Below are 17413 nucleotides of genomic sequence, written 5' to 3'. Positions count from 1 at the left end.
TTGTTGAAGATCAGTTGGCTGTAAGTATTTGGCTTTATTTCTGGGTTCTCTATTCTGTTCCATTGGTCTATATGCCTGTTTTTATACCAGTACCATGCTGTTTTGGTGACTATGGCCTTAGGGTATATCAGTTGATACCTCCAGATTTGTTCTTTTTGCTTAGTCTTTCTTTGGCTACGTGGGCTCTTTTTTGGTTCCATATGAATTTTAGGATTGTTTTTTCTAGTTCTGTGAAGAACGATGGTATGTTTTGATGGGAATTGCATTGAATTTGTAGATTGCTTTTGGCAATACGGTCATTTTCACAACATTGATTCTACCCATCCACGAGCGTGGGATGTGTTTTCATTTGTTTGTGTCATCTGTGATTTCTTTCAGCAGTGTTTTGTAGCTTTTCTTGTAGAGGTCTTTTACCTCCTTGGTTAGGTATATTCCTAAGTTTTTTTTTTTGTTTTGTTTTCAGCTATTGTAAAAGGGGATGAGTTCTTGATTTGATTCTCAGGTTGGTTGCTGTTGGTGTATAGTAGAGCTACCGATTTGTGTACAATAAATTTGTATCCTAAAACTTTGCTCAATTCATTTATCAGTTCTAGGAGCTTTTTGGAGAAGTCTTTGGGGTTTTCTAGGTATATAATCATATCATCAGCAAACAACAACAGTTTGACTTCCTCTTTAGCCATTTGGATGCCCTTTATTTCCTTCTCTTGTCTGATTACTTTGGCTAGGACTTTCAGTACTGTGGTGAATGGAAGTGGTGAAAGTGGGCATCCTTGTCTTGTTCCAGTTCTCAGGAGGAATGCTTTCAGCTCATCCCCCTTCAGTATTATGTTGGCTGTGGGTTTGTTGTAGATGGCTTTTGTTACCTTGTGTCCCTTCTATGCTGATTTTGCTGAGGGCTTTAATCATTAAGGGATGCTTAATGTCAAATGCTTTTTCTGCGTCTATCGAGATAATCATGTAATTTTTGTTTTTAATCCTGTTTATGTGGTGTATTGCATTTATTGACTTGCATAGTGTTAGTGGCTCTTTCTGCATACTTGAGAATATCTAGTTTTATGTCTCGTTTGAATCTGGGTAGGTTACTTAACCATGATGACAGTTCATTATTATATTTTATTTTAAAAATGTATTTTTTAAATTTTAAAATATTTAATTGACAAAGATTGAATATTTTTGGTGTGCAACATGATGATTTGACATATGTATGCATTGTGTAGTGATTACCAAAATCAAATTAATTAACACATCCATCACCACCCATGCTGTATATGAGAACCCCAGAACTGATTCGTCTTGTAACTGAAAGCTTGTATTCTTTGTCCAGTCTCTCACCCAGTTTCCCCTCTCCCCCACCCCTGGCATCACCATTTAACTCTCTGCTTCTATGAGTTTGACACTTTTATTTATTTATTTATTTTTGAGACAGATTTTTGCTCTTGTCGCCCAGGCTAGAGTGCAATGGCACAGTCTGAGCTCACTGTAACCTCTGCCTCCCGGGTTCAAGTGATTCTCCTGCCTCAACCTCCCGAGTAGCTGGGATTACAGGCATGGCATGTGCCACCACACCCAGCTAATTTTGTAATTTTAGTAGGGATGGGGTTTCACCATGTTGGTCAGGCTCCTCTTGAACTCCTGACCTCAGGTGATCCACCTGCCTCGGCCTCCCAAAGTGCTGGGATTACAGGTGTGAGCCACCATGCCCTGCCCAGTTTGACACTTTTAGATTCCACACATAAGTGAGATCATGCAGTATTTGTCTGTCTGTGTCTTTCTATGCTTATTTTATGTAACATGTCCTCCAGGTTCATCTGTGTTGTTGCAAATGGCAGGATTTTCTTTTTATGGCTGAATAATAGTCCACTTTATACTTCAAATTCTTCCTATCTTTCAGAACCAGATCCAATGCCATCTCTTCCGCAAAGCCTTCTTTGATCTTGAAGTTTGGCAGAGGAAGTTCTCCCCACTGTGAGGTTTAATTATATTGATTTCCTCCTGGCCATGGGTCTGTTTGTAATAGGGATTTATGCAGGAGATAGATAAGGTTTCTCATGCAGCTTGTCAGCTGGTATCATAGAGTGTTTTCTGTAGTTATTATTCTATAACTATTTATTTATGTTTTATAAGTCCTATGAAATATCACTTAAAGGAAAATTCTCTCAGCCTTGTTCCCAAATTCTGTGTGATCACAAAGACACTATTGCTTTCTAGGCCTTGCTTTCATGGAACTGAACCTAAATAGTGTACCTTTTTTAGGTATCTCCAGGGTCTTTCTTTAACTATTTTTGCTCAAGTAAAAGTGAATAGCAAAAATGGAGTATTTTAAACCTGAAAAAAAAAAAAAAAACAGAAAGGAAGTGAGGTGGCTTGACTTCCTCCTAAGTTTATAGTAAGTATATTTTCTCATGGGAAGAAAAAAACACACTGATGATTAGAAACACTTTGCTTTTTGTTCAGCCACAACCTAGCTATTTCCCACAAAATTAATCCACTGTTACCAGAATAGGGAAGCATCTGTACACATAGAGAGAAATGGAACCTAAATATTTCTGGAAACCTCAAGTCACTTACACATTCCACAAGTTGCCTCATATCGAGAAACACAGAATTTGTTCAAACATTTCAATACTTCACCAGATTGAGTTTGCAAACAAAAACATTTTGGAATTGTGGCAAAGGGAGTGGCTGTCATGGCAGAGGTGAGCTCAGACATGTGGATTAGTATTCAGACGATAATTTGGCTCCAGAAATCATCACCACGGGGCACACAACCCTGTAGTCAGAAAGGACCTCATGAATCACCCCATAGATTACCCTAAAATTTAAAGATTTTCTCCAGAATGAACCTAGTAAAGAAGACTATTCTAAGAGGCAGCTTATCTCATTCTGAAAACATCTTTGTTGTTTCTTTCTTTCTTTTCTTTTCTTTTTTTTTTTTTTTTTTGAGATGGAGTCTAGCTCTGTCCCCCAGGCTGGAGTGCAGTGGCGCAATCTCGGCTCACTGCAAGCTCTGCCTCCTGGGTTCACGCCATTCTCCTGCCTCAGCATCCCGAGTAGCTGGGACTACAGGCGCCCGCCACCACGACTGGTTAATTTTTTGTAGTTTTAGCAGAGACGGGGTTTCACCGTGTTAGCCAGGATGGTCTTGATCTCCTGACCTTGTGATCCTCCTGCCTTGGCCTCCCAAAGTGCCGGGATTACAGGCATCAGCCACTGCGCCTGGCCTGTTTATCTTTATTTCTTTTTTTTTTTCTTTTATTATTATACTTTAAGTTTTAGGGTACATGTGCACATTGTGCAGGTTATTTACATATGTATACATGTGCCATGCTGGTGCGCTGCACACACTAACTTGTCATCTAGCATTAGGTATATCTCCCAATGCTATCCCTCCCCCCTCCTCCCACCCCACAACAGTCCCCAGAGTGTGATGTTCCCCTTCCTGTGTCCATGTGATCTCATTGTTCAATTCCCACCTATAAGTGAGAATATGCGGTGTTTGGTTTTTTGTTCTTGCGATAGTTTACTGAGAATGATGATTTCCAGTTTCATCCATGTCCCTGCAAAGGACATGAACTCATCATTTTTTATGGCTGCATAGTATTCCATGGTGTATATGTGCCACATTTTCTTAATCCAGTCTATCATTGTTGGACATTTGGCTTGGTTCCAAGTCTTTGCTATTGTGAATAATGCCGCAATAAACATACGTGTGCATGTGTCTTTATAGCAGCATGATTTATAGTCCTTTGGGTATATACCCAGTAATGGGATAGCTGGGTCAAATGGTATTTCTAGTTCTAGATCCCTGAGGAATCGCCACACTGACTTCCACAATGGTTGAACTGGTTTACAGTCCCACCAACAGTGTAAAAGTGTTCCTATTTCTCCACATCCTCTCCAGCACCTGTTGTTTCCTGACTTTTTAATGATTGCCATTTTAACTGGTGTGAGATGGTATCTCATTGTGGTTTTGATTTGCATTTCTCTGATGGCCAGTGATGATGAGCATTTTTTCATGTGTTTTTTGGCTGCATAAATGTCTTCTTTTGAGAACTGTCTGTTCATGTCCTTTGCCCACTTTTTGATGGGGTTGTTTGTTTTTTTCTTGTAAATTTGTTTGAGTTCATTGTAGATTCTGGATATTAGCCCTTTGTCAGATGAGTAGCTTGCGAAAATTTTCTCTCATTTTGTAGGTTGCCTGTTCACTCTAATGGTAGTTTGTTTTGCTGTGCAGAAGCTCTTTAGTTTAATTAGATCCCATTTGTCAATTTTGGCTTTTGTTGCCATTGCTTTTGGTGTTTTAGACATGAAGTCCTTGCCCATGCCTATGTCCTGAATGGTAATGCCTAGGTTTTCTTCTAGGGCTTTTATGGTTTTAGGTCTAACATTTAAGTCTTTAATCCATCTTGAATTGATTTTTGTATAAGGTGTAAGGAAGGGATCCAGTTTCAGCTTTCTACATATGGCTAGCCAATTTTCCCAGCACCATTCATTAAATAGGGAATCCTTTCCCCATTGCTTGTTTTTCTCAGGTTTGTCAAAGATCAGATAGTTTTAGATATGCGGCGTTATTTCTGAGGGCTGTGTTCTGTTCCATTGATCTATATCTCTGTTTTGGTACCAGTACCATGCTGTTTTGGTTACTGTAGCCTTGTAGTATAGTTTGAAGTCAGGTAGCGTGACGCCTCCAGCTTTGTTCTTTTGGCTTAGGATTGACTTGGTGATGCAGGCTCTTTTTTGGTTCCATATGAACTTTAAAGTAGTTTTTTCCAATTCTGTGAAGAAAGTCATTGATAGCCTGATGGGGATGGCATTGAATCTGTAAATTACCTTGGGTAGTATGGCCATTTTCACGATATTGATTCTTCCTACCCATAAGCATGGAATGTTCTTCCATTTGTTTGTATCCTCTTTTATTTCCTTGAGCAGTGGTTTGTAGTTCTCCTTGAAGAGGTCCTTCACATCCCTTGTAAGGTGGATTCCTAGGTATTTTATTCTCTTTGAAGCAATTGTGAATGGGAGTTCACTCATGATTTGGCTCTCTGTTTGTCTGTTGTTGCTGTATAAGAATGCTTGTGATTTTTGTACATTGATTTTGTATCCTGAGACTTTGCTGAAGTTGCTTATCAGCTTAAGGAGATTTTGGGCTGAGACAGTGGGGTTTTCTAGATATACAATCATGTCATCTGCAAACAGGGACAATTTGACTTCCTCTTTTCCTAATTGAATACCCTTTCTTTCTTTCTCCTGCCTAATTGCCCTGGCCAGAACTTCCAACACTATGTTGAATAGGAGTGGTGAGAGAGGGCATCCCTGTCTTGTGCCAGTTTTCAAAGGGAATGCTTCCAGTTTTTGCCCATTCAGTATGATATTGGCTGTGGGTTTGTCATAGATAGCTCTTATTATTTTGAAATATACGTCCCATCAATACCTAATTTATTGAGAGTTTTTAGCATGAAGGGTTGTTGAATTTTGTCAAAGGCCTTTTCTGCATCTATTGAGATAATCATGTGGTTTTTGTCTTTGGCTCTGTTTATATGCTGGATTACATTTATTGATTTGCGTATATTGAACCAGCCTTGCATCCCAGGGATGAAGCCCACTTGATCATGGTGGATAAGCTTTTTGATGTGCTGCTGGATTCGGTCTGCCAGTATTTTATAGAGGATTTTTGCATCAATGTTCATCAAGGATATTGGTCTAAAATTCTCTTTTTTGGTTGTGTCTCTGCCTGGCTTTGGTATCAGAATGATGCTGGCCTCATAAAATGAGTTAGGGAGGATTCCCTCTTTTTCTATTGATTGGAATAGTTTCAGAAGGAATGGTACCAGTTCCTCCTTGTACCTCTGGTAGAATTCGCCTGTGAATCCGTCTGGTCCTGGACTCTTTTTGGTTGGTAAGCTATTGATTATTGCCACAATTTCAGCTCCTGTTATTGTCTATTCAGAGATTCAACTTCTTCCTGGTTTAGTCTTGGGAGAGTGTATGTGTCGAGGAATGTATCCATTTCTTCTAGATTTTCTAGTTTATTTGCGTAGAGGTGTTTGTAGTATTCTCTGATGGTAGTTTGTATTTCTGTGGGATCGGTGGTGAGATCCCCTTTATCATTTTTTATTGCATCTATTTGATTCTTCTCTCTTTTTTTCTTTATTAGTCTTGCTAGCGGTCTATCAATTTTGTTGATCTTTTCAAAAAACTAGCTCCTGGATTCATTAATTCTTTGAAGGGTTTTTTGTGTCTCTATTTCCTTCAGTTCTGCTCTGATTTTAGTTATTTCTTGCCTTCTGCTAGCTTTTGAATGTGTTTGCTCTTGCTTTTCTAGTTCTTTTAATTGCGATGTTAGGGTGTCAATTTTGGATCTTTCCTGCTTTCTCTTGTGGGCATTTAGTGCTATAAATTTCCCTGTACACACTGCTTTGAATGCGTCGCAGAGATTCTGGTATGTTGTGTCTTTGTTCTCGTTGGTTTCAAAGAACATCTTTATTTCTGCCTTCATTTCGTTATGTACCCAGTAGTCATTCAGGAGCAGGTTGTTCAGTTTCCATGTAGTTGAGCGGTTTTGAGTGAGATTCTTAATCATGAGTTCTAGTTTGATTGCACTGTGGTCTGAGAGACAGTTTGTTATAATTTCTGTTCTTTTACATTTGCTGAGGAGAGCTTTACTTCCAAGTATGTGGTCAATTTTGGAATAGGTGTGGTGTGGTGCTGAAAAAAATGTATATTCTGTTGATTTGGGGTGGAGAGTTCTGTAGATGTCTATTAGGTCTGCTTGGTGCAGAGCTGAGTTGAATTCCTGGGTATCCTTGTTGACTTTCTGTCTCGTTGATCTGTCTAATGTTGACAGTGGGGTGTTAAAGTCTCCCATTATTAATGTGTGGGAGTCTAAGTCTCTTTGTAGGTCACTCAGGACTTGCTTTATGAATCTGGGTGCTCCTGTGTTGGGTGCATATATATTTAGGATAGTTAGCTCTTCTTGTTGAATTGATCCCTTTACCATTATGTAATGGCCTTCTTTGTCTCTTTTGATCTTTGTTGGTTTAAAGTCTGTTTTATCAGAGACTAGGATTGCAACCCCTGCCTTTTTTTGTTTTCCATTTGCTTGGTAGATTTTCCTCCATCCTTTTATTTTGAGCCTATGTGTGTCTCTGCACGTGAGATGGGTTTGCTGAATACAGCACACTGATGGATCTTGACTCTTTATCCAATTTGCCAGTCTGCATCTTTTAATTGGAGCATTTAGTCCATTTACATTTAAAGTTAATATTGTTATGTGTGAATTTGATCCTGTCATTATGATGTTAGCTGGTTATTTTGCTCGTTAGTTGATGCAGTTTCTTCCTAGTCTCGATGGTCTTTACATTTTGGCATGATTTTGCAGCGGCTGGTACCGGTTGTTCCTTTCCATATTTAGCGCTTCCTTCAGGAGCTCTTTTAGGGCAGGCCTGGTGGTGACAAAATCTCTCAGCATTTGCTTGTCTGTAAAGTATTTTATTTCTCCTTCACTTATGAAGCTTAGTTTGGCTGGATATGAAATTCTGGGTTGAAAATTCTTTTCTTTAAGAATGTTGAATATTGGCCCCCACTCTCTTCTGGCTTGTAGGGTTTCTGCCGAGAGATCCGCTGTTAGTCTGATGGGCTTCCCTTTGAGGGTAACCCGACCTTTCTCTCTGGCTGCCCTTAACATTTTTTCCTTCATTTCAACTTTGGTGAATCTGAGAATTATGTGTCTTGGAGTTGCTCTTCTCGAGGAATATCTTTGTGGCGTTCTCTGTATTTCCTGAATCTGAACGTTGGCCTGCCTTGCTAGATTGGGGAAGTTCTCCTGGATAATATCCTGCAGAGTGTTTTCCAACTTGGTTCCATTCTCCCCATCACTTTCAGGTACACCAATCAGATGTAGATTTGGTCTTTTCACATAGTCCCATATTTCTTGGAGGCTTTGTTCATTTCTTTTTATTCTTTTTTCTCTAAACTTCCCTTCTCACTTCATTTCATTCATTTCATCTTCCATTGCTGATACCCTTTCTTCCAGTTGATCGCGTTGGCTCCTGAGGCTTCTGCATTCTTCACGTAGTTCTCGAGCCTTGGTTTTCAGCTCCATCAGCTCCTTTAAGCACTTCTCTGTATTGGTTATTCTAGTTATACATTCTTCTAAATTTTTTTCAAAGTTTTCAACTTCTTTGCCTTTGGTTTGAATGTCCTCCTGTAGCTCAGAGTAATTTGATCGTCTGAAGCCTTCTTCTCTCAGCTCGTCAAAGTCATTCTCCGTCCAGCTTTGTTCCATTGCTGGTGAGGAACTGCGTTCCTTTGGAGGAGGAGAGGCGCTCTGCTTTTTAGAGTTTCCAGTTTTTCTGTTCTGTTTTTTCCCCATCTTTGTGGTTTTATCTACTTTTGGTCTTTGACAATGGCGATGTACAGATGGGTTTTTGGTGTGGATGTCCTTTCTGTTTGTTAGTTTTCCTTCTAACAAACAGGACCCTCAGCTGCAGGTCTGTTGGAGTACCCTGCAGTGTGAGGTGTCAGTGTGCCCCTGCTGGGGGGTGCCTCCCAGTTAGGCTGCTCGGGGGTCAGGGGTCAGGGACGCACTTGAGGAGGCAGTCTGCCCGTTCTTAGATCTCCAGCTGCGTGCTGGGAGAACGACTGCTCTCTTCAAAGCTGTCAGACAGGGACATTTAAGTCTGCAGAGGTTACTGCTGTCTTTTTGTTTGTCTGTGCCCTGCCCCCAGAGGTGTAGCCTACAGAGGCAGGCAGGCAGGCCTCCTTGAGCTGTGGTGGGCTCCACCCAGTTCGAGCTTCCCAGCTGCTTTGTTTACCTAATCAAGCCTGGGCAATGGCGGGCGCCCCTCCCCCAGCCTCGCTGCCGCCTTGCAGTTTGATCTCAGACTGCTGTGCTAGCAATCAGCGAGACTCCGTGGTGGTCCTAGGACCCTCCGAGCCAGGTGCAGGATATAATCTCCTGGTGCGCCGTTTTTTAAGCCCGTAGGAAAAGCGCAGTATTCGGGTGGGAGTGGCCTGATTTTCCAGGTGCTGTCCGTCACCCCTTTCTTTGACTAGGAAAGGGAACTCCCTGACCCCTTGCGCTTCCCGAGTGAGGCAGTGCCTCGCCCTGCTTCGGCTGGCGCACGGTGCACGCACCCACTGACCTGCGCCCACTGTCTGGCACTCCCTAGTGAGATGAACCCGGTACCTCAGATGGAAATGCAGAAATCACCTGTCTTCTGCGTTGCTCATGCTGGGAGCTGTAGACCGGAGCTGTTCCTATTCGGCCATCTTGGCTCCTCTCTCTATCTTTATTTCTTATAACTTGTTTTAATCATCCTGTTTGGGACTCGTAGCTCTGACATTTGGTGATATTAAGAACACAGGGATTACTTATTCACAGGCTGTGATATCACATAGTGGAAAACCTTTATTATTTATGACTCCTGGGATAAATATTCCAGGTTTCTACACACAAGATGATTTTCATGTTTTCTGCCATCTGTATTATACCCTCTTTGTCAATATCATCCTTAAAATGAGCTGCCCTGCTCCCAGCAAAATGACTCATCTAGCAATGCTTATATGAGATTCCTGAATGCATTACTATGACAGGGTCACATCTCAATTTCATTTTTCTCTTTATAAAAGGAATTTATAATCTTTCCCAGATTATAAATTGTCAATTAACAGAACTAATAAAAATTATTTTAAAAGTATGTATATAAGTAACTGCTACAAGCATTTTCAACAATGATGAACATGAGAAAAGCTATCCTATTCTCTGGAGTTAAATATTTATTTTGAAATATTAAGATATTTCTAATTTTTCAAATCCATTGATAATATATCATTATCTGATGGGAAAATTTTCAATAGATATAAATGTATTTAGAATGTAAAAATGAATTCAGAATGGAATAATAATTCTACTTATAGTAGTATTCACAGAGAAAGTAGAACTATTGCCACCTTTTAATTGGGTGGTAGATTTCAATTGTTCTCACTGTTTTGGCAGCCTTGTCACAGGATTCCTTATGTGAGGTTTTATTTGCCTAAATCTCATTCCTTCCTCACATGAGTCATCACCAAGCCAGGAATCTTTTGTACCTTGCAAGCGACTTTCTGGAATACAGGCTATCACACTTTTTCCTAATAAATTTTATTTCATTTTTCTGTAGCTCCTCATTCTTATCTGTCAATGTCATTTTACAAGTCTTGAAGCTGTCTTCTACAGCAGAGCTGCAAATCTGTTTCCACTTGAGCTTCTGATAAACATACTAAACAATATATGCTGATGACCCAACATTCAGAATCACCTTTCAATTTGACACAGACCTGGTAGTAATACTCTTTAGAGATCTAGTTTAGGATCTCTAAACCCAGGAAATCACTTGGGTTGATCGCTAAACCCAGGCAAATTCTCTTTACCCAGGAAATTCACTAATCTATCAAGATACAGACACAGTGTCAAGTACTCGGCTGAAGTAGAGATACATACCACACTCTGTTCTAAAGGGCAATAACAGGTTTTTTTCCCCATTAGAACGGACTTACTCCTGGTAAACCTGGAGCTGTAAAGCTGATACGTAGGAATCATTCAACAAAGTGTACGCATTAGTATTATTGTTATCAGTTTGTATTAATCAATACACTATCCTCTAAATGCTCCCAAATTCATTGTTTAAAAACTAGATAAGGGGTTGGGTTAAGATAATAAGTCCTTATTTTCTGAAACGAGGAAACTAGTTAAGGTTAACTTCAGTTTGGTCATCTGGTACCACAGAAAAATCTAACACCACAGAGACACTGGGTCATATGCAGAGATTTATTCTTAATATTTCCTAACTGAAAAACAGCTCATTAGGCACATCTGGAGACCTTGGAGCTGTCCTAGGTACAAGGGTGGGGTGGCAGAGAAAAGCTTAATGTAGACTCTCTACTCTCAAACGACTCATTCTGGTGAATAGACACTAGTTAACTATGCAGGTAAAGTTTTCTTCATTCTTGTATCTCAACATCTGACACAGACCCTGGCTTGGTAACGGGAACTCACATGTGTGTGATGAAGGTAAGGAGCACTCCGAAGAGAGCCTGGTGATGCAGAACTAGCAGGCATGTGGTGCATCCCAATTCCCCTAGTGCTTCAAAGCCCTTACAAAGCAGAACCGTGGCCCCGATGTGAGGCACACAGGCTGGGGACACAATTCCTTTTCAAAGAGAAGCAACTGAATGCTCAGAAGTAGAGTGACTTGTGAAGGGTCACTGGGAAGAACGTGGCAAAGCTGAAATGAACACTCAGATCTGCAGACTATAAGTCATTTGCAGGGCCAGGCATGGTGGCTCATGTCTATTATCCCAGTGCTTTGGGAGGCCAAAGCAGGAGGATCTCTTGTGGCCAGGAGTTTGAGACTGGCCTGGGAAACATAGCAAGACCTGTCTCTACAAAAAATATAATAGAAAATTCACCAGGCATTGTGCTGTGTGCCTATAGTCCTAGCCACTGAGGAAGCTCAGGCTGGAGGATTGCTTGAGCCCAGAAGTTTGAGGCTGAACTGAGCTATGATCATGGCACTGCACTCCAGCCTGGGTGACAGAGTGAAATCCCACCTCTAAAAAGAGGGGAAAAAATAGCTTTTTTTTTTTTTTTTTTTTTTTTTCCTGAGATGGAGTTTTGCTCTGTCGCCCAGGCTGGAGTGCAACGGCACGATCTTGGCTCACTGAAACTTTTGCCTCCCGGGTTCAAGGAATTCTCCTGCCTCAGCCTTTCGAGTAGCTGAGATTACAGGCACCCACCAGCACACCAGGTTAATTTTTTTTTTTTGATAGAGACGGGGTTTCACCATGTTGTTCAGGCTGGTCTTGAACTCCTGACCTCAGGTCATCCGCCTGCCTTGGCCTCCCAAAGTGCTGGGATTACAGGAGTGAGCCACTGCACCTGGCTGGAAAAAATAGTCTTAACTATAGTCCCAGCTACTTGGGAGGCAGAGGTGGTAGGATCGCTTGAGCCCGGGAGGTCGAGGATGAAGTGAGCTGAGATCGCACCACTGCACTCCAGCCTGGGAGGCAAAGTGAAAACCTATTTAAAAAAAAAGTGGTGACTTCAAATCACTCTCTTTCAGCATTAGAGTAAGGTAGGAAGTCTGCATATTTTTAGATTCTCATGATTTTTCTCATGGAAGGGGTGATCATTTCTGATCACTGCCATTGCATCATGACAACAAAGCTGCTTCTGTGTGTCCTAGAATACAAAATGCAAATGGAATCCAGCCTGGTAAAAATGTGGAAGGAGAGCAAGAAGCCCTTTGGTGAGCATAGCCAGGCCACCCATTTAGGTTGTGTTGGTGCACATCCTTGCAGGCCCCATGCACATCACAACTTCCACAGACTCACATGTGCTTTACAACAGTTCTCTAGAAGATGGTAGTAGGAGATCTTATTCTAACAAAACAGTGTAATATGACAGCATCCCAAGAGATAGAAGTAACATGTCTTGAGAAAGAAGTGCCTCTTTTCTAATCTTCATGGAGACAGCTCATGGACTGTGATTGCTTTGCATCCAGTCTCTCCAGATGACCTACTGCTCTCAAATATCACTAATGACTGACTACAAGCCAACAAGAGAGAGGGTTGAGTTTCATGTATCTTGTGCAGAGTAGGTGCTGAGTTAATATTTCTCGAATTCAGAGTTGTGCTAGGTCTCCCAAGAATTTCATAATGTAATGCTGAAGAGCATGGGCTTTGGGGTCAGGCAAGCTAAGGTTCAAACTTTGACTACTGCTTAGGATACTAGAATAAGTTCTACATCTTCATTGTCCTCATGGAAAGATTCATGGTCCTCACGGGTAAAATGTGATGAATAAAATCTGCAGGACTGGGAGGAGTAAAGGATATAAATAATATTGCATTCCATGCCTGGTACGTAGTTGGTGCTGTCGACAGTAGCTAGAGAGAGAGAAATGAATGATGGTAAAGAGTGCAGGCTACTCTACCTGTACCCATGTTCATCATAGCACTATCCACAACAGCCAGAATATGGAATCAACCTCCGTGTCCATCGACAGGTGAAGAAAATGTGTTATAAATACACGGTTGAGTACTATTCAGCCTTAAGAAACAAGGAAATCCTGTCATTTGCAACACCATAGATGAACCTGGAGGACATTATGCTAAGCGAAATAAGCTGGGTGCCAAAAGACAGCTACTTTATGATCTCACTTATATACAGAGGCTAAAAATGTCAAACTCACAGAGGCAGAGAGTGGGATGGTGCTTACCAGAGGCTGGGGCAGGGGAAGGACTGAGAAGAGGTTGGCCAGGGATACACAATTTCAGTTAGGAGGAGAAACTTCAAGAAATCTGTTGCACAGCATGGTGACCACAGCTAAACACAGTGTCTTGTATTCTTGAGCACTTCTAAGAGAGTAGTTTTAAGTGTTCTTACCACAAATAACTGGCAAGTAGGTGAGGCAATGCATATGTTACTTAGTTCAGTTTAGCCATTCCATAGTGTACGCATACTGTATATCAAAACACTATGTTCTTCTTAGGACAGGCGATGAGGACAAAAAAAGAAAAAACATTATGTCATATACCATAAATATATACAGTTCGTGTCCGTCAATTAAAAAAAAAAATTATGGCTGGGTGCAGTGGCTCACGCCTGTAATCCCAGCACTTCAGGAGGCCGAGATGGGCGAATCACCTGAGGTTGCGAGTTTGAGACCAGCCTGACCAACATGGAGAAACCCCGTCTCTACTAAAAATACAAAATTAGCCGGGCGTGGTGGTGCACAACTATAATCCCAGCTACTTGGGAGGCTGAGGCAGGAGAATCACTTGAACCTGGGAGGCGGAGGTGGGGTGAGCCGAGATCGCACTATTGCACTCCAGCCTGGGCGACAGAGCGAGACTCCTTCTCAATAAATAAATAAATAAATAAGTAAAAATTTACAAACAGAGCACAGACTGTGGAGTCCAGCTGCCTGGAGTCAAGGCCAAGCTTGTCTCTACTTAGCTGTGTGGCATTTACACAGGTCCCTGAAGCTCTCCATGCCGCATTTTCTCTTCTGTAAAAGTCTTTTGGGGAGGTAAATGACAGAACACATGTATGGGGGTCGTTGCTGCTGGCACCTAATATTTCTGATCCTTAGGCACAGCCTGCTCCCCTTCAAATCAGGCCTGGCCTTGGGATTGTGCTTTGGCTTGTGGTATCTGTTTGTTCACTTCTGGCTGGAGCTTCAGGAGACAGCGTGTGATTTGATATTTCTCTTTATCTGCCAGGTAGTGCAAAATGACATACAGCACAGCCTGGCCAGTCCAAAACTGACACATAGTACCATAAAATCTTCTGGGACTTTGTCGGTTTAGGTCCCAGAAAATATTGATGATATTTTATTATTGCAATATGGCCTCCCCCATCTTTTTTTTTTTGTGACAGAGTCTCACTCTGTCACCCAGGCTAGAGTGCAGTGGCGTGATCTTGGCTCACTGCAAGCTCCGCCTCCCGGGTTCAAGTGATTCTCCCGCTTTAGACTCCAGAGTAGCTGGGATTACAGGAGCACACTGCCACACCTGGCTAATTTTTTAGTGTTTTTATTAGAGATGGGGTTTCACCATGTTGGCCAGACTGGTCTCGAACTCCTGACCTCAGGCAATCCACCTGCCTCGGCCTCCCAAAGTGCTGGGATTACAGAAGTGAGCCAGCACGCCCGGCCAGCCTCCCCCATCTTAAGGAAAACAGAATCTAAAGTGCCCAAACTCGTGTCTGGCCCATAGTTGGTACTCAGCAAATGTTTATTATTGTTATAATAATAATGATTATTCCTGTCATCATTCCTAATGATGTTCATATTTGAACAGCCCCAGCTCTGCCTAGCTACACCTTGGCCATTGTTGGACTTCATGATTTTAAGATCTCTCTTCTCTAGAAGAAACAGTTTAGTATTTGGCACAAGAGAAACACAGAAAACTACTTCAAACATCTATTGACTGACTGTGGATGCATCTGAAAGTGATTCATCTCTGAGTCTTTATTTCATTATCTGTACAATGGAGATGAATCCTAATGACTGAGAAGTTTGGTCACAAGCAAACTTCTTTTGGCTGCAGTGCCTGGGACAAGGTCAGCACTAGCCACTCCTGTCCGTGCTATCTCCTTTGCAGCACCAATCCCAGCTCCTCCAGCCTTCACATCCTAGTCTCTCACCAGCTATAAGACTTTTCTTTCTCCTAATTGTTGGCTGTTCCACAGGGAGATGGAGAGGAGCTTGCTCACTTGTTAATTTTGCTATTGATAGCTTGAGGAAAAAATTACATCTAGTAGGAGACTCTAATCAGAATATCTGTGGAATTTAGGTAGCTCCATCATTTCTAGTCCACAAATGTAGCTATGAAACATTGGAATCCTTTATGGTTTTAGAACGACCTAATGCATTTGGTGTCTGTGGCTATGTGTAGCTCAACAATGTTGTAGCCTGTACTCACACTTAGCTATACCAGGTGATCATTTTCCCACTGTCTTGGCTTTTCTGGGAAGACCTGCTCAATGCTGCTACGGGCACACGCAGGTGGACAGGTCACGACCTAGGAGTCACTGCTCTCAGCCAAATGTCACATGTAATTGTGTTCCAACATCCTCCTGAAAGGAGCCTTTCAAATAACTGAAAAAAACTAATTAAATACGTATAGCATGAATCATTTCTGGAAGATAACTAAACCCAAGCAGTTACGCCAGTTGGTCTTCATCATAGTTCCTTAATTTAATAGTAATCTTCATAGGAAATTGTGGTATCACGTGAGGTGGATCTGGCAAGCTTTTTCATCCGGTTCCAGATGGGGAACTTAATTGATCTCAAATTTGCTCACTGAGCTTTAAAGTATGGAAAAAGACCCAGAGCCCTGACTTTCCAGCCAACTCTCAGGTCCCCACCACTGGGCCACATACCCTTCCCAGGGGCCAGCAGAGGAAATAGAACTCAATTTGTGTTAAAGGTTTACAAACCTGTTAATGCTTTTTGTTCAGTATTTCAAAATTTAGAGAACATGGTGCTGCACATTTTAAGGAATATTACTTTTCTTCCTTCCCTCCTGCATCCTGTTTTCTCTCGGTGCTATTATGGTTCACATTGGTTGGCAATACATTGCAGCAAGAAAGGTATTAAAAGCTTGAGGTGGTAAAACTATAAAGTTACCACCTTTCCATGCTAATTCGTGTGAAAACATGATGCGCTCCACATCTTTCATGGTGCAATAACATAGGTGAGTCAACATCAGGCACGTGAGTTTGTTCAAGCAAGTCATTTGAAGTCAGAATGGTAACTTGTGGAGGCGGATCTGTGACATGCTGGGAAGAAGTCAGGTTTAGTATACCATATTGCAGTTTATTATCCATGAAGTAGATTACCCAAAAAACTTAGCCATTTTGCAGTACGTATAAAACGTGCCTTTATTCAGCAATTCAGTTTCTAAGAATTCCTTCTAAATAAATAAGGATGTGTACAGATATATAGATGTAAAGATGGTTATTGTAATTTCTTTAGGATAATCAAATCATGGTACATCTGAACTGAATCATCCTGCATTCATTAAAACAGCAGTGCTGGGATTTCATCATTTATATAAATATGGAAAATTCATTTAAGTACTAAGCAGGTTGCAGAGCAGCAAAGATGTCATTATTTTTACTTTTGAGCAAGTGAAGATGGAGAGACAGACCCACAGTCAGAAGCACATATTTCCAGGTATCCGTAATTTTGTAATTTTCATTTTCCTTTTACCTATATTTCATAATTATTCTGTATGTAACGTGGGTTATTTGCATCATCAAAATGCCTTTCAAAATAATGTGTAAAAACAGTATTAATTGCCTTTTTAAAAAATTATTATTATACTTTAAGTTTTAGGGTACATGTGCACAATGTGCAGGTTAGTTACATATGTATACATGTGCCATGCTGGTGTGCTGCACCCATTAACTCGTCATTTAGCATTAGGTATATCTCCTAATGCTATCCCTCCCCCCTCCCCCGACCCCACAACAGTCCCCAGAGTGTGATGTTCCCCTTCCTGTGTCCATGTGTTCTCATTGTTCAATTCCCATCTATGAGTGAGAACATGTGGTGTTTGTTTTTTTGTCCTTGCGATAGTTTACTGAGAATGATGATTTCCAGTTTCATCCATGTCCCTACAAGGGACAAGAACTTATCATTTTTTATGGCTGCATAGTATTCCATGGTGTATATGTGCCACATTTTCTTAATCCAGTCTATCATTGTTGGACATTTGGGTTGGTTCCAAGTCTTTGCTATTGTGAATAAAAAATATGGAACGCTTCACGAATTTGCGTGTCATCCTTGCTCAGGGGCCATGCTAATCTTCTCTGTATCGTTCCAATTTTAGTATATGTGCTGCCGAAGCGAGCACTAATTGCCTT

The 17413-nt window shown here is 41.3% G+C and overlaps 1 long non-coding RNA gene and 1 pseudogene across 10 annotated transcripts in view, besides 1 other annotated feature; one reads left to right on the top strand and one right to left on the bottom strand.

The window, feature by feature from the left end:
• Nucleotides 1-17413, top strand: part of LOC102724078 (uncharacterized) — a 187103-nt gene that overhangs the window by 41513 nt on the left and 128177 nt on the right. The gene's annotated exons all lie outside the window — the stretch shown is intronic.
• Nucleotides 8286-8785: an enhancer, noted in NCBI's record as "H3K4me1 hESC enhancer chr15:32584971-32585470 (GRCh37/hg19 assembly coordinates)". NCBI's record gives its function as "activates a minimal SCP1, AML or CMV promoter by ChIP-STARR-seq in naive H9 embryonic stem cells {active_cell/tissue: H9 hESC(naive)}" and the evidence as "EXISTENCE:reporter gene assay evidence [ECO:0000049][PMID:30033119]".
• On the bottom strand, nt 17298-17403 carry RNU6-18P (RNA, U6 small nuclear 18, pseudogene; annotated as a pseudogene).

Source organism: Homo sapiens, chromosome 15 (assembly GCF_000001405.40).
Source record: "Homo sapiens chromosome 15, GRCh38.p14 Primary Assembly".
Classification (NCBI taxonomy): Eukaryota; Metazoa; Chordata; class Mammalia; order Primates; family Hominidae; genus Homo; species Homo sapiens.
Note: the sequence above shows the minus strand (reverse complement) of the source record. Positions and strands in the feature narration are given on the sequence as shown.